Here is a 23,451-nt window from a genome sequence, read left to right as displayed (position 1 = left end):
TTTCAGAAGAGTCATTAACTCTGAAATTTCTTATTGCAGGTTCCATCTCCTTCTATAGAATTTCATTTTGCAATATTCCCTCTCGCTCTCGAATCACCCCAACACACATTATCTATCAGGGTCACCCAGCAACCCTGGGGTAAGAAAGATGTCCTTTTCATCTCTTTAGAACTGTGAGTCTGGGGGAGAGGGGATTAGAGAGGTGGGAGGCACAGAGGTTTGGAGAAGCAGGTCCCTGGAGGCCCAGACAGCAGGAATGACCTTGAATGGAGCAAGGGGGAGAATCTGCCAGCCACATTTATTTTCCCATCGGATTCCCGGAAAACTTACAAAATATCTATATTACAGCAATGAGAGGGACCCAAATAGAATTGGAGATTTTTGTATTAAGAAATACTTCAAGATCTACCAGTCGGAGCCCAGTTGGGGCCGCCAACAAAGCCACACAGCATCCTCTTGTCTCTTACAGCCTTTCAGAATCTCTGTGTATTTTTCGAGCAGCAGCAGCAGCAGCAGCTTCCAACTCTTGCACATTTGCTAATTTGCCAAGTCCCCAAAGCTGCCCTGCTGTCTCTTTCTGCATTTCCCTCTTTCAAGGTCAAACTCCAGTGCACCTCAAACTTCCAGTGTTTTTCAGTGCGGTGTGAGCCTCTGCCTGCAGGGCCCCTCCCCTGAAGGGCGGGAGTCGCCAGGGGCCAGGGTCCTTGTGAGGAGCCCAGAGGAAATCTGTGCAGGCCTTGACTTTCTCACACATATTTCAGATGTGCAGGGTTGTGATTGTAAACAGCGTCTTCAGAGCCGGCCTCCCCACCCGTGTCCTGTTCATATCACCCTAGGGGTTCCAGTAATAGGGCGTAAAAGCAAACAAAGAAAAACAGTAATCTGGTGTTCCAATTGCATTTTTTGTTTTTAGAAAATGTTAATGATAGGTTATTTGATTACCCTAGGTTTGGCCCCACGCGCTCTTGATTAAGCACATCTGGTATTTAGTAACAATATAAGTAGCAGGAGTTTTTTTGGCACTTGAAAAGCAGCTCATCCAATGTTGCCATGCAGTTTGGAAACTCGTCAGTGAGGCCAGCCAAACTTGTGGAGATACAAGACTTTTTCTGCAGGCTGGGCAGCTGGCCAGAACTGCTAAAAAATGTGAATTGGCTAAGAACTGCTGCCACGCAAACACTTCTGGAAATTTCTGTGCTTGGGCCTGCCAAATCCATTATGCACAACATGAATTACAAGAGTTTCTATCTCTCCAAGCAGTTGCTTTTTGAGCTTAATTCTCCTATACGCTTTATGAAACGCCACACACACAACCAAAAATGAGAAAAACACCCCCAAATCCACTACCATCCTTTTTTTTTTCTGTCTTTTTCCATTTGGGTTGCCAAGCTCACAGCTTTTCCTGAATTAGGAGAAATAGCCTCAAACTTTGGTTTGAATTACATTAAATCTAAATGTGGGAGGCAATTGTGCTTCCTGGAAATTCTAGAAAGGAAGGATGTTTCGCATCAAGGAGACAGCCTAATATCTAGGTAGGAAAAACAATAAAATGCAACAAAAGAGCTTGGAAGGGGAAAAACATATACGCCCTGTTCATGTCCAGCCGTTGGGATTTTGGCCTTGTGGGAAGATTTTGCTCAGACTAGAAAGAAATGCTGTGAGCGGAATGTGCCTGTCTTGTGCTTAAGACTGCGGCCCTGCTTCGAGATGCACCGAGCCCGACGTCTTGGGTTTCTATTCACATCCCTGCAGACTGTCAACCACATGGGCCATTTTGGAAGCAGGGTGTGCCAAGCAGGTCAAAGGGAGAGCACGCAGGAAAGACAGCCAGTCCTTCCAGTCCAATCCTGCTTCTTCCCATGCCTTCCCTCCCTTCCAGGGCTGAGAAAGGTTTGCATCATGTATTTTCTGAATCCAAATTGAAACTTGTCTTTTGCTGGTGATTCAGATGTGCAGGATTACTCAGACTCTGCCTAGGATTGTTTTGAAGGGCCTGCAGCTCCACTCCTATTCTCCAGAAGCACTGGGATGACATTATTCATAGGGCACACATAATAGCTAATATGAGGTAATCACATTAGCACATTCTGAGACATAAAGTACAGCTAAATCCTTCCAATTCCCACTAGGTGTAATGCTGTCTTGACACACAGCCCTTTTCATGATAACCGTAAGGTCACTTCTCCATCATCCCTCCCCGATCCCTTTATTTTCTGGAGTATCTTTTGTCTTAGATACTCCTGTCAATTTCAGCCAATCAAAATTGACGTATTCTAAGAGCTAGTGGTCCCCACTGTGCCATTCCATCAAGTTGCTACTCGAGCTTGCGTCTCAGTTTCTCTCTCTGTTAGGAGAAAGGTTGTGTTTGCAGGTGGCCATCCTCCCAGGGCATGGCAGAGCCCAGTACGGCAGAAATGTCATGGGATTTGGCATCAGGTTCTGGCTTGGACACTTGTAACTTTGTGTCCTCACTTCTAAAATGGGAACAGGAACGCCTTCCTCACAGCACAGTCATGAGGAACCAAACGTAATGATAATTATGCAACTGCTTTGCAAACAGTAAAGCAATATACGAATACGGCTTGTCATTATTATCTTGCAAGGCCTAATTGTAGAAATCTGACCACTTACGTTACTGTGAACATGATATAGAGAGTGTGGGTCAAGATAGTCAATGCCCGTGCAGAATGCAATGTGGGAATGTATTACAGCTGACACTGCCAAGTGATTGTTGATTTCTGCAGCTGATGCAGGTTGACCTCTCTCAAGAATAATTTTTAAAGTATGTCACTTGCTCCTCTCTTTCTTTCTCTGTCTGACTTTCTGTCTCTGCTTCTCTGTCTCTCTCTGCCTCTCTGTCTCTCTTTCTCTGTCTGTCTCTTTCTTTCTGTCTCTGTTTCTCTGTCTCTCTTCCCCTCTCTCTGTCTCTCTGTCTCTCTGTCTCTGCCTGTTTCTCTGTGCCTCATTGTCTCTCTCTGTCTCTGTCTCTGTGTGTGTGTGTGTGTGTGTGTGTGTGTGTGTGTGTAGGTGTGTGTGTCTTCCTCTCTCCTTTTCTCTCTCTTTTCCTTCAGGAATCAATTGGTAGAAATCACTATTCATATGCCAGTTTACTGTATTGACCTAAGAATGAAGGTGAGGTCGCCAGTGCTAATTAAATTTCCTTTCCCATAGTGAACTGTATCCCAGAACTAGAGTTCACACTAAGCAGTTAAACAGGTTTGGGCATTCGAAAAAAGAAAAAAAAAAGCTGGGGCCCCAAGAAAGCACTCTTGGCCTCATTTCTATTTGGCTCACATTGCCTGTCCTGTTCTTGGCTTAAATTTGGATCACAGGACTCATTTTCTCATTTTCCTTTTCTCATGTTCCTGGATCTTTGTTGTAGAATTGTAGGAAACACAGAGTCAGGAGAGTCAGCCAAAAAGTATTTCTCCCCTCCCTGGAAGGTCTCGGGCCCTGCTCAGACACCACATGCGCAGGGCCGACTGCATTCCCACGGCGACGGCCTCCTGGCCCGCATCATGACTGTTGTTTTCCTCGCGGTGGCCATAGCTTTTGGATTTTACATTCAGATTGGTTCAAGGGGCTTTTTCCTTTCTCTGTTTGAAGGAAGCCACCCTCTCGATCCCCAGTCAGCGTGGCGTCCTCTCAGCAACCCGCTCCTGGTCTTGCTTTGACTCCTGTGCTCCCGGGCTGCCGAGAACACGTCTGGAGCTTTTAAATCAGGGTGAGTCCCAGCCGCCGAGGAAGCACTGAACAAAAAGGCCACCGCTGGGGAGCTGCAGGGGCACAGACGGAGCCTGGGAGCGGGGCTGACCATGGGGAAGAAGGGGAGGTGGGAAAGAAGGCCCGGCCACCTCCACTGCTACAGCCACAGCGACAACAGTAGACAGTGACAGGCCCTGCCTGCCACGCACTGCAGAGTCTGTGGCTCTCCCCTGTTAAGTAAGAGCAGTCGGCGCTGACGTTCAGTGAGGTCATGAGGATACTCACAGAACTTTCTGGAATAAGGGTCAGGCTGCGAAGCATTCCCCAGACATTGTAACATCCAGCCAGTCACTCGTGGCATTTAGCTTTTAGGTTCATCTCTGTGAATAATCATCACAAATATTTACTGAGCATCCTTCATCTCCTGGAAGCCTCGTGGATTATCTTGCTGAATCCTCACCACAGCAGCCCGCTGAGGGAGGTGCTATCATCGTCCCTGTTTTTCAAGGGAGAGAATCAAGGTTTGGGCAGGTGCAGTGACCTGGGGCGGTGCGGGGGGTGGGGGCGGGGTCTATTTCTGGCAGTCCTTCTTACGCTCATCCTGACTTAATAATACTGTTTCTGCATTTACTGCAAAATGGGCTCCCCCAGGGGTTACCCACAGAGACACATTTTCTCTTTTCTCTCCTCCACTCATGAGCTCAGTTGCGTGCTACGTTATCTGCCTTGTCTTCCCAGGCGTACTTTAACTTCTGCAGAGCAGACTGAAACTATGTCCGCCAGGCCAGGGCTTTCATTGCCCCCACCCAACTCTCTCCTGTCCCTGCCCCTACCTCATCCTATCAGCTAGCCGTCAAAAGAGCAACCGGAAAATCCCACACTTTGGTTAATAAAGCTAATATTAGAAAGAATCACTAAAAGTTAAGCTTTAGGGTCGAATCCATTGATAAGTGTTTAATACACTGACCATTTCATCTGATATTTTATTTTTTTAATTTTAAAATTAATTAATTGTTTATTGTTTATTTTTTAGAGACAGGGTGTCACTCCAGAGTGGAGTGTGGTGGTGCAAACATAGCTCACTGCAGCCTCCAACTCCTGGGCTCAAACAATCTTCTTGCTTCAGCCTCCCAAGTAGCTGGGACTACAGGTACATGCCACCACACCTGACTAATTTTTTTTGTTGTTTTTTTGGTTTTTTTAGGGACAAGGTCTTGCTATGTTGCCCAAGCTGATCTTGAACTCCTGGCCTCAAGCAATCCCAATAGTTCGGTCTCCCAAATTGCTGAGATTGTGGGTACAAGCCACTGCACCTGGACTTCTTCTGACATTATAAAGCAAAGAGCATTTTCAAAAGCTGATGCTACTTGTGCATATTCCATATTTGCTGAGCGCTTACTGTGTCCCCATTAAGTGCCAGGCACAGTTTTCAGCACTGCTTTAAAGTGTCTACAAGCTTAGAAAGGGCATAGGCATCTCTTGAAATCCAGTGTTCTAGGGAAAGTTTTTCCTGTGGTTTTGCACAGAACCCACCGCTTCCTGTCCAAGGTGACAGCTTTAGCTGGGAGAGAAATTAAAAATGCCTCCTTGGAATAGCTATCTGATGTGTCTAAATATGATTGCTGATGTTAGCAATAGGACCTGCCTATTAGCAATGGTTTGGGCAACTGTATGTGTGAGGCAGGGAGAGAAAGAGGAAGAAAATACAGCTCTCACTATTGTTTCCAAATGGCAAGACTGGTTTTCCTGCTACCTACTAACCAGTGTAGTTATTAGTGTTACATATCACCTCTGCATCTTATTTATGTAATATTCCAAGAAGCTAAAAAAAAAAACCTCTTTTTTTTTTTTTTTTTACAAATCTTAGATTTTATGAACACTTGCTAATAGCCCCCCCCTCCTAGATCGTCATTGCTGTGTAACAAATTGTCATACATTTAGCAGTTTAAAATACCACACATTTACTCACAGCTTCCATGGGCCACGAGTGTGGGGACGAGTGACTGGGTCGTCTGCTCAGGGTCTCTTACAAGACTCCATCAGCGTTTCAGCTGGGGCTGGGGTCTCATCTGAGGCTCAGGGTCCTCACTCCAGGTCACAGGGCAGAATTCATTTCTTTCAAGCTACGGATCTCATGGCAGCTTGCTTTTTCAAGGCCAGCAAGGGAGAGAGTGAATCTGCTGCTTTTAGTGTCTGACCTCTCGATCTTCTTTTAAATGGCTCATCTGATTAGGGCAGACCCACCCAGGATAATCTCTCTTTTGACTAACTTACAGTCAACTCATTAGAGATCCTAATTACATCTGCAAAAATCCCCTCACCTTTGCCTGATAATGTGACATCATCACGGGGGCAATATCCCATCACTTTTGCCATATACTATTGGCTAGAAGCAAATTAAGGTCCTGCTACCACTCAAGGGGAGGGGATTACACAAGGGCATGGGACATCAGGGGTCATCTTAGAATTCTGGCAACCAGAATAAGCTACTTGTGGATAGACATGTTGTCATACATATTTTTTGTTCAGTCATTATGCTTAGCAGAGAAATAGGCACACAGCAGAAAAATAACTGATTGGTACGGAGAATTTAGTGATTGGAAACGAATTAATATTGTTAAGACACAAAGTTTCTTGCAGAGCACACTCTGAAAAAGGTCACTTTTTACCCCTCAATATGTCTTAATGGGTTGAGGTAGAGAGAAGCGTGGGTAGGTATCAATCACGAGAGCACACAGGCTAAAAGAAAGAAAAAATGAGCTGGGACATCTAAGTTCAACTTCCACTTCCTCCTATACAAGCTGGGTGACCTTTTCCTATCTAGAAAGTGGGAGAAGTAGTTCCTGTCCTCCCTTACAGGGCTGCTGAGCAGGCAGAATGAGATGATGGGCTGAGAGGGCTTGGAGAGGACAAACTGTGGGTACAAAAGTCTTATTGTCCTGGCCCGGATTGCTAAGGAGATGGTGGTTAATAATATGCTGCTATCTCATGAGGTAAATGCGTGATCACATAGCCAAGAGATGCCTTTTTGTTCTAATGATCACTGTAAGACCTTCTTGAGAGACAGTCCAAGTCTCTCCAGCACAATGGAAAATTGCATTTTCTATGCACACATTCGAGGGGAAAGAGACCCCTCCAACGTTCTTCTCAGTTTTACCCCAAAGTTGAGTTCTGGGTCAAAAATCTCTCAAGCGTCCTCCACAGCTGACTTCCACAGTCCCCTGTGTGTCTCTGCAAGGAACACAAAGGAAGTGAGATAGTGGGAAGTCTGGGGCCATCTTCGGTCACGTGAGAATTCCCTCTCAGTTAGCCGGGGCGTGCAGCCGCACAGAAGGAAGGCAGCCACGCAGCTCCAGTCCAGGCTGGGAGAGAGCTTTGTAGATCCATCTCCCACTGAGCAGGCTTCCCTCCTGCAAGGAGAGACTCTACCGATAATGTGTTAAGATCAGATTAATGCAGGAAATACACATGAAATAAATAATAACAGTGTAATAACAGTGGCTGTCATTGCAATGGTTATTTCTGTTAAAAATGTGAGATCTACACTACGGATTTCTTAGGATAATTTTGCCCTTACTTAAAAGAAACTGACAGATGTACTTTATAAAAATGAAAATAATTTAACAAATAAAGAATTGGAGAATATTGACTCACCACTCATTTTCCTTGTTTAATCATTGCCTTTTTTTTTTTTTTAACTTAGAAACAGCAATTAAGTTTGTTTTTGTTTTTTTAAAAAAACAGTTAGGGAAATTCTACCCTCCCCATGTCCTACCCTCTCCTCAGTTCCCTCCAAGCTGCCATTATCGACAAGGCTATGCTTGGGTTCTAAATTCTCCAGGAAACAACATTATTTAAATGTCACACTGGGGCTGTTGTCGTGAAAAGATAACAAGGGTTTAAAATGATACGGAAGCCAGCTCGGTTTATGATTTGCACACCTCAAAGCTTTAGGTTAATGGAGACATCCCAACACCGCTATCCCACGGTGATGTTGCTGACTCTTCAGAAAGAACATTCACTTAAGAGAGAGAGAAACTGCATTCTTTCTCTTGTATTCTTGCATCAAGTTAAACATGCATTCTAGAACATGAAGCAGTTTGAGAAAACCACCTTGCTTTTGAGTCACACATCTGATATTTTTGCATTTGAGATGCTTAACATACAACTTATATGAGACAGGGACTCATATAAACATGGCAAGGTAAGAAACAGAAAGCGTAAGAACTGCTTGGTCTGAACTATGGACTGTCTTGGAATTTTTAAATGAGGGGCTCTTGTTTTTAAAAGCCGTGTTGACAAACTGATACTATATTTTTAGCATGCCTTGAATAGAAAACATGCAAGATATGTGAACAATATATTTCCAAATATGTCACATATTTATAAAACACAGTAAATGCGTGACAGATTGAGTAGGCTATGTGGAAAAAATAACAGCTGTGGTACACCCTATTTCTTAGCAAATTCATACACAACAAATGACATTCATGTCCAATGTTTTCCAAAATCTATTTTTAACCATTTTAGAAAAAGAGTTAGCGAATGAAGACAAAAGTTTGCAAAAGAAAAATCAGAAGATGGGTGTAAATTTAAGTGACATGTCATGTAATTATCATGTATAAAACTAGCTCTGAATTTTTCCCAGCATGCAGCTGTTTGATGGAAATGATATTAAATGAAGCATTAGAAGTGATCTGCATTTTTAGGTGGGCTGGAATGTCGTATATGAGGGAAAGCATATAGGAAGTTCCAGAATATAAAACCTACAGTATATGTGCCAATGATGTGAAGATTTACTTTGTTGGGGTAGAGTTTGCATCAAAGGTCAATGAGAAGCATGGTTTGCAGCAACAAAGACAAGATCAAGTTCGGCATTGAGAAAGCTCCTAGAAGTCAGACCAGGGATGCTCTGATTTAAATCTTGTGCCATTGAGATCCATGGTCACTTCTGAAGCAGGGAGTGAGCTTGGGAAATCGTGTTTTTAAGGTGATAGTTTTAGTAGCTATGGATATGATAGGGGCAAGTAACCTTTAAGGATAATGGTGTGAATCCTTTAATTCTGCAATAGAGATCTGTGTGATTTACAAATCATTTCCAAAACCTTAATATTATTTGAGTCATAGAACAACCCTGTAAAGCAGACAAGAAAAATTTAATCATGGCTGGGCATGGTGGCTCACGCCTGTAATCCCAGCACTTTGGGAGGCTGAGGTGGGCAGATCACTTGAGGTGAGGAGTTCCAGACCAGCCTGGCCAAAAGGGTGAAACCCCATCTCTACTAAAAATGCAAAAATTAGATGGGCATCGTGGTATGTGCCTGTACTCCCAGCTACTTGGGAGGCTGAGACAAGAGAATCGCTTGAACCCGGGAGGCAATGTTGCAGTGAGCCGAGATCGCACTACTGCACTCCAGCCTGGGAGACAGTGAGACTCCGTCTCAAAAAAAAACAATTATTTGTATCTTCCTCACAAAGAAACCAAGCACTTGTGACTTCTTCGGGGACACAAAAAGAGGCAGGTCCAGTCCTAATAACCAACTTATTTGTTTACTTAGTGTGAGATCTAGGAGAGATGGGATTTCAGGTATTTTTTGCTTCCTCTTCTTTTTAGTTTTTCCCCCTGAATTTTCTACTATGAACGAATATTATTTTATAACCATACAAATGGCATTAAACATTATTGCTTCAAAAAAGGGAAGAAATTCTCATCTTCATGCCTTCAAGCCCGGCTATTTCTCAGCTCCTTACTTAAAACTGAAATTAACTTCCCTGTGCCATCCATTCCTAGCTTCTGCCCCAGGCAGGAGGAGCTGGACTCAAAGAATACACGACTCTATTCACCAGGCCAAGCTACTGAAAGGTAACATAGAATGGACAGGGCTATGAGTCTGGAGAACTGAATTTGCATCTTAATTTCTACAGAATGGGAAGTTCCTTCATTTTCTTGCGCCCTTGTTTCCTGTTCTGTATCCTTTCTGCCCGACAGGAAGTGTTTCAAGATGCTGAAGCAAACATTGCCTTATCAAAGAAAGGTGATACTAAAGTTACATTTTCATGGGAGACTATTACAATTTCAAAATACTACAGTTGAGTGTTCTGTTTAGCCTTGGCCTGATCAGAGGGAGACTTTGGGCAGTAGGAATGTGGGGAGGGTAAGAGAGGCTGGGTGGGTATGAAGGATGCTAGAAATGGAGGTGTGTCCCTTGAGTTGAAATTGAACTAATCAGCAGGCATCCTAAGCTTTCCCTGGCCCTTCCCTTATGAGCTCTGCTCCAATGGGATGCTCCTGACTAATGGGCATGCCATAGAAACTTAAGCAAGGAGGCCTTCTCATCTAGCAGCCTAGATAATCATAGACGGCCTGCTTCCTTGAACTTGGGCGAGCAACTTGGCCTCTCAGTTTCCCACTTTCTCTACCTGTAAATAAATTATCTTACTGGGAGGTGGGGGATAATTGAAATCAAATTTCTAAAGGATTTTTAACTCCTTAGAATTCACCAGTTTTAACCTTGGGGTGGGGGCCCCTGGATCCCTTTGAGAATCTAATGATATCTATGAGCCCTTCTCCCAGAAAAATATGTACATACCCATCAGCTTTTCATGTAATTTACAAGGTTTATAAAGCTTATCTGTAAACTTCTTATAGGCTGAAAGCAAAATAAAACCTACCTTAAAAGAAAGGTGCAATAAACATATAAAATATTAATAATGTGTCATTTCTACCCTGTAACTACCATCCTTGTGGGCTTGATTGACAAGTCTATTGCCCTATGTTATCATAGTTATGCTCATTTTATTATTATTAAAAATAGCTTGGTTATCTTTGTTGGTGCTCATTCCACCCCCACACCACCTTTTTGGTGGGTTGCAAGGGGAATGTTTGAATATTTTCTACTCTGAAGGCTTTGGAACCAAGGATGTATTTGCTATTGGTCTTTTGTGTAGGACAACATAGATTCCTTCCATCTAGGTATAATCTTGTAAATAAGTAAGAATATACATAATTGAATTGAGTTTTTAGAATGAGTTCTTTATTGCTCTTGGACAGTTAAAATTGCTATGCCTGAGAGAAAAAATGAAAAGTGGCCCCGCCAACACATTACAGGAGACACTTAACATAAGCCTTCAATCCACGACTGATTAAAATGTGCATAATTACTATTCTTATTATTTATTCTAAAATAACTGAAAAGCAGTGGTCTTGAAGAAAGAAGTTTTTAAAAAGTAATATTTTATGCATAGGTTTAAAAGGAATCAGCCCATTTATTCAATAATGAAAAAGATCATTATTTTCACATTCCCACCTAATGTCTTCTGTTTTCTTCCATCATTATTTAGCTCAGCTGGGAATTAGGCATATTCTTTAGTTATGCTTTAAAAAAAGAACTGGTCTTATGAAATAGCAATATCTTTCCTAGACAACTGGCTATACTCCATATGGAGACACCTGAGTGCATAATGTTTTTTTTTTTTTGTACGATGTATAGGTTTGCAGAACACCAGAATCTGGGGTTTTCTCTCTCTCTCTCTCTCTCTCTCTCTCTCTCTCTCTCTCTCTCTATATATATATATATATATATATATATATATATATATATATACACACACACACACACACACATGTATTTTTTCCCTTTACTATCTTCTATAAAAGGATCCTGCTATTGATTGCAACTGACTGAGCTGCTTGAGTTGATATCTAAGCAACGCTCACCCAGATAGGGATTAGCATTACATCAGCCGTCAGGCGAGGGAACCTGGCAGCCTGCCAGCCTGTAAAAACGGAATGCGTTTGCGTCACTGTTCCCTTGGTGATGCTTCTTGGAGCCTTGTCAGCTGTCCCCTGAGGTTGTTTCCTTAATATGTCAACAGACATTCCTGAATCTTTAATGCTGAATAGCTCTTTTCCTTTTCCAAAAACACTTAGGTGACCAAGCAGCTCGTGTGTCCTGTTGCTATGATCTTTGAAAATGTATTTCTTTCATTAAATAGGTGTTTGTTCTATTCAAAACATTCGAGGGGATTTAAGAAGGTTTAGATTTCTGCTTCTCCATGTTAAAGGACCTATTTTTGCAGAAACAGGGCAGCCAGCTTAGAGCTGAGAGCTGCCTCTCTGCTTTTATCATTCTTAGGAAAAGCCCTTATTCCCTCACCAGCTTACCCAAACCCTCCAATTATCCTGTTACAGTGTGACATTCATTGAACAAAACGGTCAGTTGAAAGACCCGACTGGAATTTGCCCCCATTGATGACTTGCTCTCTGACCTGATCTGAGAATGCCTGTCCACTGCTCACTGCAAGCCACAAACAAGAAAGACTTGTCAACCGTTGCCCATGTGAAATCTCTTTCCTCCTTTTCCCGGCATCTTTATTCGCTGTCCCAGTAGCTTGAGCTCCACATTCGTCTTGGCATATTTTACATTGAAAAGTACCATCTGCGAGGAGCAAAGGGAGCCTTGAACTCACGTCCCTTCCTTCTCTCTCTCAGCAAGAACACGTAATGTGTGGTAGTTGAGGTGTTTTCCCTGTGCACACCCCTCCAGACTGTTAGGCAGTTGCTATAGCAGTTGATCACAGTCAATGGTTTAAGCAGCTTCAATGTGCAGGAGAGTCATTTGGGTTTTGGAGGGTTATTAAATGCAGAGTGGGGGTGTTATTAAATGCACTTAATCCCTAGTGCCATGATGAGTGACTGAGAAAAGAGCCACTGTCCCCTGAGTGAGCTTGGCAGCTGGACTCCACCATCCAAGGGGCACCGTTGGTGGAGTCTTGTCCGTTGGTGCTTTTGTGGCCAGGAAATCTGCCTTCGGGCTGGGACTCCCGAGACCGCTGCTTCCTCACTCTGCCAGCTGCTGTAACCATCGCTGTTTCTGTTCCACAATTCATGTGCCCTCAGTGCCCCTCCCCTGGAGCTCTTGCATCAGCCTCTCTGAAGAAGGTTCTCTCCCATGAACCCCGGAAGAATGGAAACAGAGTTGCCCAGAAGTAGAGAGATTCAGAATTGCTGGGTTTCAGAGTTGAAAAGAACGTTTAGAGTGAAACCCAAGCTTCTCATTTCATTTGAAAAATAAAAATCTGGACCAGGCCGATGGCAAACGCCTGTAATCCCAGCACTTTGGGAGGCCGAGGTGGGCAGATCACCTAAGGTCAGGAGTTCGAGACCAGCCTGGCCAACATGGTGAAACCCCATCTCTACTAAAAATATAAAAATTAGCCAGGCGTGGTGGTACATGCCTGTAATCCCAGCTACTCGGGAGGCTGAGGCAGGAGAACTGCTTGAACCCAGGAGACAGAGGTTACAGTGAGCCAACACAGTGCCATTGCACTCCAGCCTAGGTGACAGAGTGAGACTCTGCCTCAAAAAAAAAAAAAAAAAAAGAAAGAAAAAGAAAAAAAGAAAAGAAAAAGAAAAAGAAAAATCTGAAGTCCAGAGAAGTCCAATGACTTTGCGGGTGTGGCCAAGTTGGCATCAGACCTGGGGCCAGAACCCATGTCCCTGCACTTGCCTTTGCCCTGTTCAGTACAGCAGCCCATGAGTGTCCAGGGGCAGGGCACGGCTGGGCAGACTGTGGGCCCCGTTGCCCTGTCCAGTGGAGCAAAAAGCTCTAGGACCAGCAAGCCGTGTGCAGCATGGGGATGAGCAGTAATCATGGGGTGCACTTCTAGGGGAGTCGCCTGAGCACAGCTCAATTTTTTCCCCCTAGCTGAGTGCCCACAAGAGAGCTCTTTTCTCTCTACTCCACTTAGACTCCACCTAGCTGAGGCATGCTGTTCCTAAGGTGGCATGCATCCCATGGCAGGAATGGAGAAGCAGCAAGGGGCAGGCCAAAAGAGAACCTGGACTGTCCTGGGGACAGCATTTAACTAGAGTTACTCTCTTTTCCGTGGGAGCCAGGAGGGAAAAATAGTATAGGCACATGCAAGGAGGTGGGAAGGAGCCTTTGACCCTAACATACAGCCTACACATCCTGAATATGGTCTCCTCACTTTTCTCTTCTCCCAAACTCCATGGGTCCCCTGTGGGCAGAGATACTGAATGACTGGCTGAGCTGGGCAACTATGGTTCAGAGCAAAAACTCTGGGTTAGACCCCTTGAGTTTTGCTTGATTGCTATGTGTTGTTGGGCAAGCATTTATCCTCTCTAAGCTTCGGTTTCCTCATCTATAAAATGGAGATAATATTATTTATTTTAAGGAATGTCATAAGGATTAAATGAGATAAATTCTGTAGTGTGCTTGGCAAAGTGCCTGGCACAAAAGTGATTAGTACACCTTAGTCACTGCAATGGTTATCACTTACAGAACAGCTTTTGGAGAGAGTTCCTAATGCAGTTTACAAACACACATCTTTTCAGTGATAAGGTGGGAAGCCATGAGCAATCAATATATCAGCTTGGTGAACAACAAGAGAAGCCGCAGACAGGGCGGACAGCTTGGTGGAAACAACACAAACTACCTAGCCCCTGACAAAGCTGCATAGCAACCTCAATCCCATGTGAGGGTTACAGCCAGCCCACCCTTGCCAGGGAGCCCACAAGTCTATTTTTAGTGGCTTACAACCCTAGCTCTGGGCATTTGGTTCTAACACGCAGTCTAACGATCAGAGGTAGCTGTGGCAAAAGAGAAAAAAGAAGCACAAAGTTAATAATGGTTAGCGTATTCACGGTACATTGCCATTTAGGCAGGGCTTTAATAATCTCTGCAGGGTAGCCAATGTAGTGTTTCTTACCATCACATTTTTATAGATGAAAAACAAATCCTCAGGCTCAGGGACTTGTCTCAGACTGAAGAGCAAATAACCGTTGGGAATTAGGCCTCAACTCTCCTCCCTCGAAATCGTCCTCCCTCACCGCATGTCACACTGCCAAACATACACACGCTTATACACACAGGTGCTCACATATATGCATGTGTGCACACACACGTACAAGCACACTCATACACATGCATAGACACGTGCTTAAAAACGTGCGCGCACACACATACAGGCACACCCATACACGTACATAGACACATGCACACACGTGCATGCATGCACAAGTACACTCACACACCTACCTACAGAAAAGCACACACAGGGTGAGTGATAATGGGCATGAGGTATATGCGCTGGCAAGTGCTAGGTCTGTGCTGCTGTTACTGGTGGCAGGTACCCGAGTTATTGCAAGGTACCTGTGGCGGATCCCTACGGGTTTCCAGCAACTTCAGTACTTGCTTTCTCAGAAGAAAGAATTCGACTGAGGAACATGAAGTAGAAGGAGAGGCCGAGGCAAGTTTCAGAGCAGGAGGGAAAGTTTATTAAAAAGCTTTAGAAGAGTAAGGAAAGGAAAGAAAGGAAAGAAAAAAAGGGGCTGGGCGGGGTGGCTCACGCCTGTAATCCTGGCACTTTGGGAGGCTAGGCGGGCGGATCACCTGGGGTCAGGAGTTTGACACCAGCCTGGTCAACATGGAGAAACCCCGTCTCTACTAAAAATACAAAAATTAGCCAAGTGTGGCGGGGGGCGCCGGTGGTGCTTGGGAGGCTGAGGCAGGAGAATCGCTTGAACCTGGGAGGCGGAGGTTGCAGGGAGCCGAGATGACACCACTGCACTCCATCCTTGGCGACAGAGTGAGACTCTATCTCAAAAAAAACCAAAAAGCACAAATTGGAAGAAGACCAAGCGGGTGAGTTGAGAAACCAAGTGCTCAGCTTGCCTCTTGACTTTAGGTTTTATGCGAGGGCATACTTCCGGGATCTTACTGTGAAGCTGGTGATCAGTTTCAGGCGTTTGCTATCTATTAGGAGACAGCCTTTCCCTGGCACCAGCTGTGACTCATTATTACTTTAGAGAAATGGTTAACAGCCACCTGCCCATCACCTGATGGTCGCGCCACACTCCTGGTGTATGTCTGTGGGGCCCTCGCCTGCCTTGTCACACTTGACTAGCTACCTACTGTAACATTACGCTTGTTCTAGCTCCCCGGGATTCTTCACTGGGGTGGTCGCACAGCCTCCCTGGCCCTCACTGAGGATCCCATACACCAGTTCACTAACCAGAGCTTTTGCTTCCCTCAAGGGTCTGGGGCTGAGGGCCTGGACACAAGAAAAACTGGAACATCCTCCTTCATGTTTCCCAGTGTTTCTGTTGCCATCACGAAAACAGTGTGCTGATTTGGGAACCCAACCTTTCTCTCTCAGGCTTTGGAATCAGTCATTTGGCAAATAGCTTCATGTGGGAATTACGAATCTCTCATGTCACCTATGGAAATCCTAGTTTTTAGAAACCACAGTGGGGTCTTTGTCTTTTTCCATTCTCCTCACTCCCGCGGTGGCTGCAGGGATGTACAATCACGTATCACAACTGCGTGACACACGTCCATTCTGCGTGCGGTAGTATACATTTAGTTCAGCTGGGAGGGGGCTGGGAGGTGCCATTTCTGCTGCTAACCCAATTTCTCTACTATCGGGGGCAACTTTCCTCTCCTGCCTCTGACTCAACAAACCAATTTTAGATTTGGCCAGCTGACTCCCAGAGCGAGCTAGGGATCTGCCACAATGCTCATCTCTGCGTTTCCTCTGGTGCCAAGAGAAAGACTTTATTTGGGAATACTTGGGACATATTTTGAGGGAAAATTTTCCTGCAGTGAGTTCCATACAGGTTTTTGGGGTTTCTTTTATTCTTTGGAGTATAAAAATCATTACAATAAAACCATCAATCTTTTTATGCCTCTGATATGTATGTTCTTTTCATGGTTGATTTATCAAACATTTTCCCAGGAGACAAGAAAGTAGCTCATAATTTTTTAATAGCAAACTTCTATCCCACTGGCTGCCACACACGTGAATTCACTCCAGATGTATTTATTGAGCAACTTCTGTAGTTTAGGTATTGTTCAGGGAGCTGAGGATATGGCAGTGAATGGCACAGACACAGTTCTTGCCTTTAGGAAATTTATATTCCAGGAATAGCTAAAAATAAATTTCACAGATAGGTCATAGACCGAAACAGAATTAAGGTCAATCCATGAAGCATCACTTGAACTTGATGGCCTATTTTTATTCATACATTTTAAAGTGTTGTTTTCAAATCACTTATTGGTGACTTGAAGGTGGGGACTGCGGCTGAGAATTGAGTCCTTAGAAGAGGACTGAGAAGCTAACATAATTTAGATAGTTCATTTTTTCTTTCTTTTTTTTCGTTTTTCTTTTTTTTTTGAGACGGAGTCTCTGTCACCAGGCTGGAGTGCAGTGGCGCAATCTCGGCCCACTGCAACCTCCCACTTCCTGGTTCAAGCAATTCTCCTGCCTCAGCCTCTGGAGTAGCTGGGATTACAGGCACGCGCCACCATGCCCAGCTAATTTTTGTATTTTTGGTAGAGACAGGGTTTCACCATGTTGGCCAGGATAGTCTCGATCTCCTGACCTCATGATCTGCCTGCCTCGGCCTCCCAAAGTGCTGGGATTACAGTCGTGAGCCACTGCACCCAGCCCAGATAGTTCATTTTTTTCTTTAGGGATGTAGAGAACAACTATTTATAAACTACTTATTTTTGTAAATCTGGCCTCTAGTTGATTTCAATTGGTGGCTCATTCATTGACTCATTCATTTATCTATTGAATGCTGTGGTGGGCCAGGCAATATGCTCTGTGTAAAAACACGAAGTATAAAAGTCCCTGCCCTCAAGGAACTCATAATCTTGTAAGGAAAGTAGACATGGAGACAGTTGGATTGCTGTGGTGCAGCACGTGTTAAATGACATATGTGAGGTGGGGGTAACCAGCTCCACCGGCATGGGCTAGGGGAGGACAGAATTTTCCAGGAGATGACTTGTGAACTGTGTCTTTAAAGACACCTACACATCTAATAAGAGTCAGTGCCTTGTCTCCATTCGTTTCTCTTCAACCTTTGTCCGATGGCTGCTGTAAGGGATTTGGCCACATTATCTGGCCACCAACAAACAACGAAACCAGCCCTTCTATTGAGTAAGCTACTTAGTATTCTATTTTGTGCAATCAGAGATTAAATTCCAAATTCACTGACACTGAAGATGAAACGGCTAATTATGCACAGTAATTGCATTTAAAATCCATGCCTTTGACTGACTGATGAAATCTTTTTTAAAGGCTTCTGAAACTCAGTGCACTCAGCAACTGTCTGTGGTTAAGGGGTAGTATATTTTCAGTTTTGTCGTGTGTAGGCACAGCTTCCTAAGCACGTCTTTTCCTTGAATTCAGTCTGTGCATTTAAAGGAATACTTTTGTTACCCTTGATCTCTGCTACACAGTCATTCATCTGACGTAAATCAGAAAAAGAGAAGTGTATAGGTGCATATAGGTGCATATAAGTGCATATAAGTGTATATGTACCTTTAAGGAAAGAAAGTGAGACAGACAAGGAGAAAAGTATTAGGCTGGCTGTAGTAAACAGTCCTCAATGTATACGTGTATTAAAACATCACATTGCTGCCAGGCGCGGTGGCTCACACCTGTAATCCCAGCACTTTGGGAGGCCGAGGTGGGTGGATCACATCAGGAGTTCGAGACCAGCCTGACCAAACATGGTGAGACCCCGCCTCTACTAAAAATACAAAAATTAGCTGGGCATGGTGGTGTGCGCCTGTAATCCCAGCTACTCAGGAGGCTGAGGCAGGAGAATCGCTTGAACCCAGGAGGTAGAGGCTGCAGTGGGCTGAGATTGCGCCACTGCACTCCAGCCTGGGCGACAGAGCAAGACTCGGTCTCAAAAACAGAAACAAAAACATCACATTGTATACTTTACATATATACATTTTTAATAAAAATAAACAATTTTTTAAAGATAAAAAGAAAGCTGGGCGCAGTGGCTCATGCCTGTAATCCCAGCACTTTGGGAGGTCAAGGCCAGCAGATCACTTAAGGTCAGGAGTTTGAGACCAGCCTGGCCAACATGTTGAAACCTCAGTTCTACTAAAAATACAAAAATTAGTTCGTCGTGGTGGTGGGCACTTGTAATCCCAGCTACTCGGGAAGCTGAGGCAGGAGAGTTGCTGGAACCCAGGAGGTAGAGGTTGCAGTGAGAAGAGATTGCACCACTGAACTCTAGCCTAGGAGACAGAGCAAGACAGCAGCTCAAAAAAAAAAAAAAAAAAAAGAAAAAAGAAAAAAAAAGAAAAGAAAAAGAAATAGTAAGATAACATAAGTGTAAGTATAGATTATAGTAACATAACATGAATTGATAATAATTGTATAATTGTGTGATAACATTACAGTAAATTTTATTTTTAAAGTTTTCTATATAATATTTTTAAATGTATAATTTAAACTTTTAGAATTTATAGTGTTTTAAATATATACTTGAGACTCTGCAGTGTTCTTACTCATCACTTGAGTCATTAGTTATGGAAATGTATTCAGTCATTTATTGGAATTTTTTCGTTGAATCCATTATTCATTATAAACACCTGGGGAAATGGAAGGTATGTCGTCCTTACCTATTGTTTTTGCCTAAGCCCATGCTTCTGCTGTGGAATGCAGCTGAGAACATGGCTGTGTTTTTGGAGGGCATTCAGTTTAGTTTTCTCCCAACTTTATTGCTAGTTGAGGCTTCTGGAACTGTTTCAATTGGATGCAAAATGAAGGAAGTTATGTCAGATGAATCATTTCACTGTGTGTTGCTTTACAGAATCACTTCCCCTGGATAATTAATAAAAGATTGACAGGAAGAATGTCCCCGGAATAATTAGCAGGCAGTTTCTGAATGGGAACTTTTATTTTTCTCATGGTTCAGTCAAACTGAGCACCTAGTTTTTGCCATTTGAGGATTTTTGACAGAGACAGAGGCAGCCTTAGAACCACTGCAAAGCTGGTTTTTGTTAGAACACAGCACATATATTTATGGAGCAACAATTCCCAGTCCTCCTTACCATAAAAACACCATGGAAAATCTTCAGGGTGACCTCCTGCAAGAGGCCCTGCCCAACTGCTAAAGCTGCCTCTCCAGGATCCCTTGTTCCTCACACTGGTTTTGCATTTTGTAGCTCTGACTCGCATCTTTGTAATGAGGTGAAGTTTCTAGCTTCTAGGTAAATAAGTCAGGCACTGCAAAGTCAAGTGGCATAAGGTATTTTTGTTTTGTTTTTACATAAAATGGCGTGAAAATGTTTTCAGAGACAATGCCGGGAGTCCTCAATCCTGCTTGGTGAAAAAACTCTTAGAGCTCACACTACATCCAATAGCTTTGAACCCTACAAACTAATCTGGGGACAACAAACTCGGTTGCTCGTTGGGCGAAAATGCTGATCTGATTAGCAACCCTTCTTTTTTCTTACTGTGGTTTTAATAATTTTGCTTTTAAACTACTTTTGTTCCTTTCTGCAATTATCTTTTCATATGTGTTTTATTTCAGCAGGATAATGTTTTCTGACTCAACTGTCAGACTGGTATACATTGCAAGTTGATTTTAGAATCCTGATAATCTTGGCCGGGTTCCGGTGGCTCACGCCTGTAATCCCAGCACTTTGGGCGGCCAAGGCAGGTGGATCACCTGAGGTCAGGAGTTCGAGACCAGTCTTGCCAACATGGTGAAACCCCGTCTCTACTAAAAATGCAAAAATTGGCTGGGTGTGGTGGCGTACTCCTGTAGTCCCAGCTGCTCTGGAGGCTGAGGCAGGGGAATCACTTGAACCCAGGAGGCGGAGGTTGCAGTGAGCCGAGATGGTGCCACTGCACTCAAGCCTGGGCAACAGAGCAAGACTCTGTCTCAAACAACAACAACAACAACAACAACAAAGAATCCTGTTAATCTTGTTAATATTAAAAATAAAACTCTGGCACTAATCAGGTTTGTGACCTCCTGCAAGTCAGCCGAATGCTTTGAACCTCAGTTTTCCCAACTGTAAAATGAGGGGTTTGCACTAGAATATTTCTAGTTCCCTTCGGTGCCTACACTCTGTGATTCTGAAGCATCCCTTGGTTGGGTTTGAACAGAACTGTTCACAGATTTCTTGTTGAGGTCACTGAGGGCTCCCTGTCTATACTGTCCCCTCCAGTGCTACCCTCCCTCTCTCCTGTCTCCATCTCTCCTCCACCTCTACCTAGGAGCTCACCTCCCAGCCTTTCATGGGTCTGCTCCCCGTAGCCCAAGAGCTAAGACCCACAGGCCACATGGAGGAGGCCCACCTTCTCAGTGGGGAGCTCTGGGTTGCCACTGGGCCATCCTCAGCTTGACCCTGATCTGTACCCCCTGACCCACCCCCCAGCACCTAGGGAACCTCATTCCAGCAAGATGAGACTCTGCATCTTCTGAGATGAAAACAAATTCAGTGATCTTCCAACTTCCACCTAGGAACCCTGAGACCAGAAGACATAAATACACCTCTCTGGCCAGAGGTGAGAGATTTCTTTGAAAACTGATGTTAGATTTTAAAAGTTCATGGAAAGTTTGCATTTCATTCCATACTAGTCCAATTTGTTTTCATATAAAAATGTTGTTTTTTTAAAAAAGTGGAGAAGCTAAACAACAAGTAACTCTAAAGCTCCAGGAAATGTGCTAAGTTTGCCCCTGGCTGGGAGTACTTTTAGATCCCCATCGCCCCTCCTCTGCCCCCGTCCCTTTCAGGATCTGCCTCTTTGAACATGTATTCCAGTTTGAGAAACATGGAATGAGAGCAAGGAACCATTTGTGCAGCTGAAAGAAGGACTAGTTGCATTTCTTTTTTTTTTTTTTTTTTTTTTTGATACGGAGTCTCACTCTGTCACACAGGCTGGAGTGCAGTGGCGCGATCTCGGCTCACTGCAAGCTCCGCCTCCCCATTCACGCCATTCTCCTGCCTCAGCCTCCCGAGTAGCTGGGACTACAGGCGCCTGCCACCACGCCCAGCTAATTTTTTTTTTTTTTCGTATTTTTAGTAGAGACGGGGTTTCACCGTGTTAGCCAGGATGGTCTCAATCTCCTGACCTCGTGATCCACCCGCCTCGGCCTCCCAAAATGCTGGGATTACAGGCGTGAGCCACCGCGCCCGGCCCCTAGTTGCATTTCTTGAGGCTCATAGAGTCCTCCTTTTTTTTTTTTTTGGAGATGGAGTCTTGCTCTGTCACCCAGGCTGGAGTGCAGTGGCACGACCTCGGCTCATTGCAATCTCTGCTTCCCAGGTTCAAGTGATTCTCCTGCCTCAGCCTCCCGAGTAGCTGGGATAACAGGCACACGCCACCACGCCCAGCTAAGTTTTTTTTGGATTTTTAGTAGAGACGGAGCTTTACCATGTTGGCCAGGCTGGTCTCAAACTCCTGACCTCAGGTGATCCGCCTGCCTCAGCCTCCCAAAATGCTGAGATAACAGGTGTGGGCCACTGCACCCAGCCTCCTCTTCTTATATAGGTGCATTTTATGTGCATTTAATGATACATGTACATTTTAGTGATTTTTTTTTTGTCTTTAACCACTTGGTAGGGAGGGGAGCACCCCGGGGGGTGCTTTGGGGCACGTGGAGTTTCTCATTTTCTTCCAGGCAATGCTAGGTGTTGGGGTGGCCGGCTTTGCGGGGGCTCTGGGCTGCTCCAGATGAGTCAGATCCATCCCTGCCCAGGGTTTCTTCTCACCTGGGACACGGGGGTATTCTGTTCATCTCTCCCAGTGCTTATTAACTTTTTCGACCTTGTTGGAAACTTTGCTATTTTCACAGTCTGTGGAACTGAAACTTAATGTTTCACAATTTACATGGCTAATTTTATGTATTTATGATTATTCTATCACATGTCTACCAGGGTTTTGTTTGGTTTTTGGCCCTGGGAAGGAAGGGGAAGCACCACCCTCCGGACAGTCAGCCCAGGCCTCCCGTTGGGTGGAGTCTGAGGGAGGGACTGTCCATTTGAATATTCAGGAGACAGCAAATACCTGCAGGGCAGGGGGCCGCTGGGGAGTCAGATGAAGATACATCTGAGAATATAGTAATTTGAAATTGGCCTTTCACAAGGCACCATCTCAGCTTCAGTGAGAATGGCTATTATCAAAAAGAGAAAACTAACAAACGCTGGCAAAGATAAGGAGAAAGGGGAACCCTCGTATGCTATTGGTGGGAATGTAAATTAGTACAGCCACAATAGAAAACAGTTTGGAGGTTCCTCAAAAACCTAAAAATAGAACTACCATATGATCCAGCAATCGTGTTGCTGGGAATATATTTAAAAGAAAGGAAATCAATATATCGAAGAGATATCTGCATTTCCATATTTATTGAAGTACTATGCACAATAACCAAAATATAGAATCAACTTAAGTGTCCCTCAAAGGATGAATAAAGGAAATGTAGTATACATACACCATGGAATATTATTTAGACATAAAAAGGAATGAAATCCTGTTATTTGCAGTAACGTGGATGCAACTGGAGGACATTAAGAAAAATAAACCAGGCTCAGAAAGACAAATAATACATGCTCTCGCTCACATATGTGAGCAAAAAAATTTGATCTCTTGGAGGTAGAGAGTAGAATGGTGGTTATCTGAGGCTGGGAACCATAGTGGGGAGGGCGGTATTAAGAAGGGTTGGTTGGGCCGGGCGCGGTGGCTCACGCCTGGAATCCCAGCACTTTGGGAGTCAGAGGCAGGTGGATCCCTTGAGGTCAGGAGTTCAAGACCAGCCTGGCCAATGTGGTGAAACACTGTCTCTACTAAAAATACAAAAATTAACCAGGCATGGTGGTGGGCACCTGTAATCGCAGCTTCTCAGGAGGCTGAGGCAAGAGAATCACTTTAACCCAGGAGGCGGAGGTCGCAGTGAGCTGAGAT

General features: G+C 44.2%; 1 long non-coding RNA gene across 1 annotated transcript, besides 6 other annotated features; it reads left to right on the top strand.

The window, feature by feature from the left end:
* The first annotated feature begins 3,472 nt into the window (after positions 1-3,472).
* LINC01354 (long intergenic non-protein coding RNA 1354) lies at positions 3,473-7,361 on the top strand. Its single transcript, NR_038426.1, has 3 exons — positions 3,473-3,724; positions 4,071-4,226; positions 4,910-7,361. It is a non-coding gene; the product is annotated as a long intergenic non-protein coding RNA 1354 (long non-coding RNA).
* Positions 11,538-11,587: an enhancer, noted in NCBI's record as "active region_2759". NCBI's record gives its function as "activates an Ori minimal core promoter by ATAC-STARR-seq in GM12878 lymphoblastoid cells {active_cell/tissue: GM12878}" and the evidence as "EXISTENCE:reporter gene assay evidence [ECO:0000049][PMID:35858748]".
* Positions 11,775-12,069: an enhancer, noted in NCBI's record as "tiled region #10256; HepG2 Activating DNase matched - State 5:Enh, and K562 Activating non-DNase unmatched - State 5:Enh". NCBI's record gives its function as "activates a minimal TATA promoter and a strong SV40 promoter by Sharpr-MPRA in HepG2 and K562 cells {active_cell/tissue: HepG2 | K562}" and the evidence as "EXISTENCE:reporter gene assay evidence [ECO:0000049][PMID:27701403]".
* Positions 11,775-12,126: a biological region, named in NCBI's record as "Sharpr-MPRA regulatory region 10256".
* Positions 12,027-12,126: an enhancer, noted in NCBI's record as "active region_2758". NCBI's record gives its function as "activates an Ori minimal core promoter by ATAC-STARR-seq in GM12878 lymphoblastoid cells {active_cell/tissue: GM12878}" and the evidence as "EXISTENCE:reporter gene assay evidence [ECO:0000049][PMID:35858748]".
* Positions 12,242-13,008: an enhancer, noted in NCBI's record as "H3K27ac-H3K4me1 hESC enhancer chr1:234657990-234658756 (GRCh37/hg19 assembly coordinates)". NCBI's record gives its function as "activates a minimal SCP1, AML or CMV promoter by ChIP-STARR-seq in primed H9 embryonic stem cells {active_cell/tissue: H9 hESC(primed)}" and the evidence as "EXISTENCE:reporter gene assay evidence [ECO:0000049][PMID:30033119]".
* Positions 12,487-12,686: an enhancer, noted in NCBI's record as "active region_2757". NCBI's record gives its function as "activates an Ori minimal core promoter by ATAC-STARR-seq in GM12878 lymphoblastoid cells {active_cell/tissue: GM12878}" and the evidence as "EXISTENCE:reporter gene assay evidence [ECO:0000049][PMID:35858748]".

This window comes from Homo sapiens, chromosome 1 (assembly GCF_000001405.40).
Source record: "Homo sapiens chromosome 1, GRCh38.p14 Primary Assembly".
NCBI classification, from domain to species: domain Eukaryota; kingdom Metazoa; phylum Chordata; class Mammalia; order Primates; family Hominidae; genus Homo; species Homo sapiens.
Note: the sequence above shows the minus strand (reverse complement) of the source record. Positions and strands in the feature narration are given on the sequence as shown.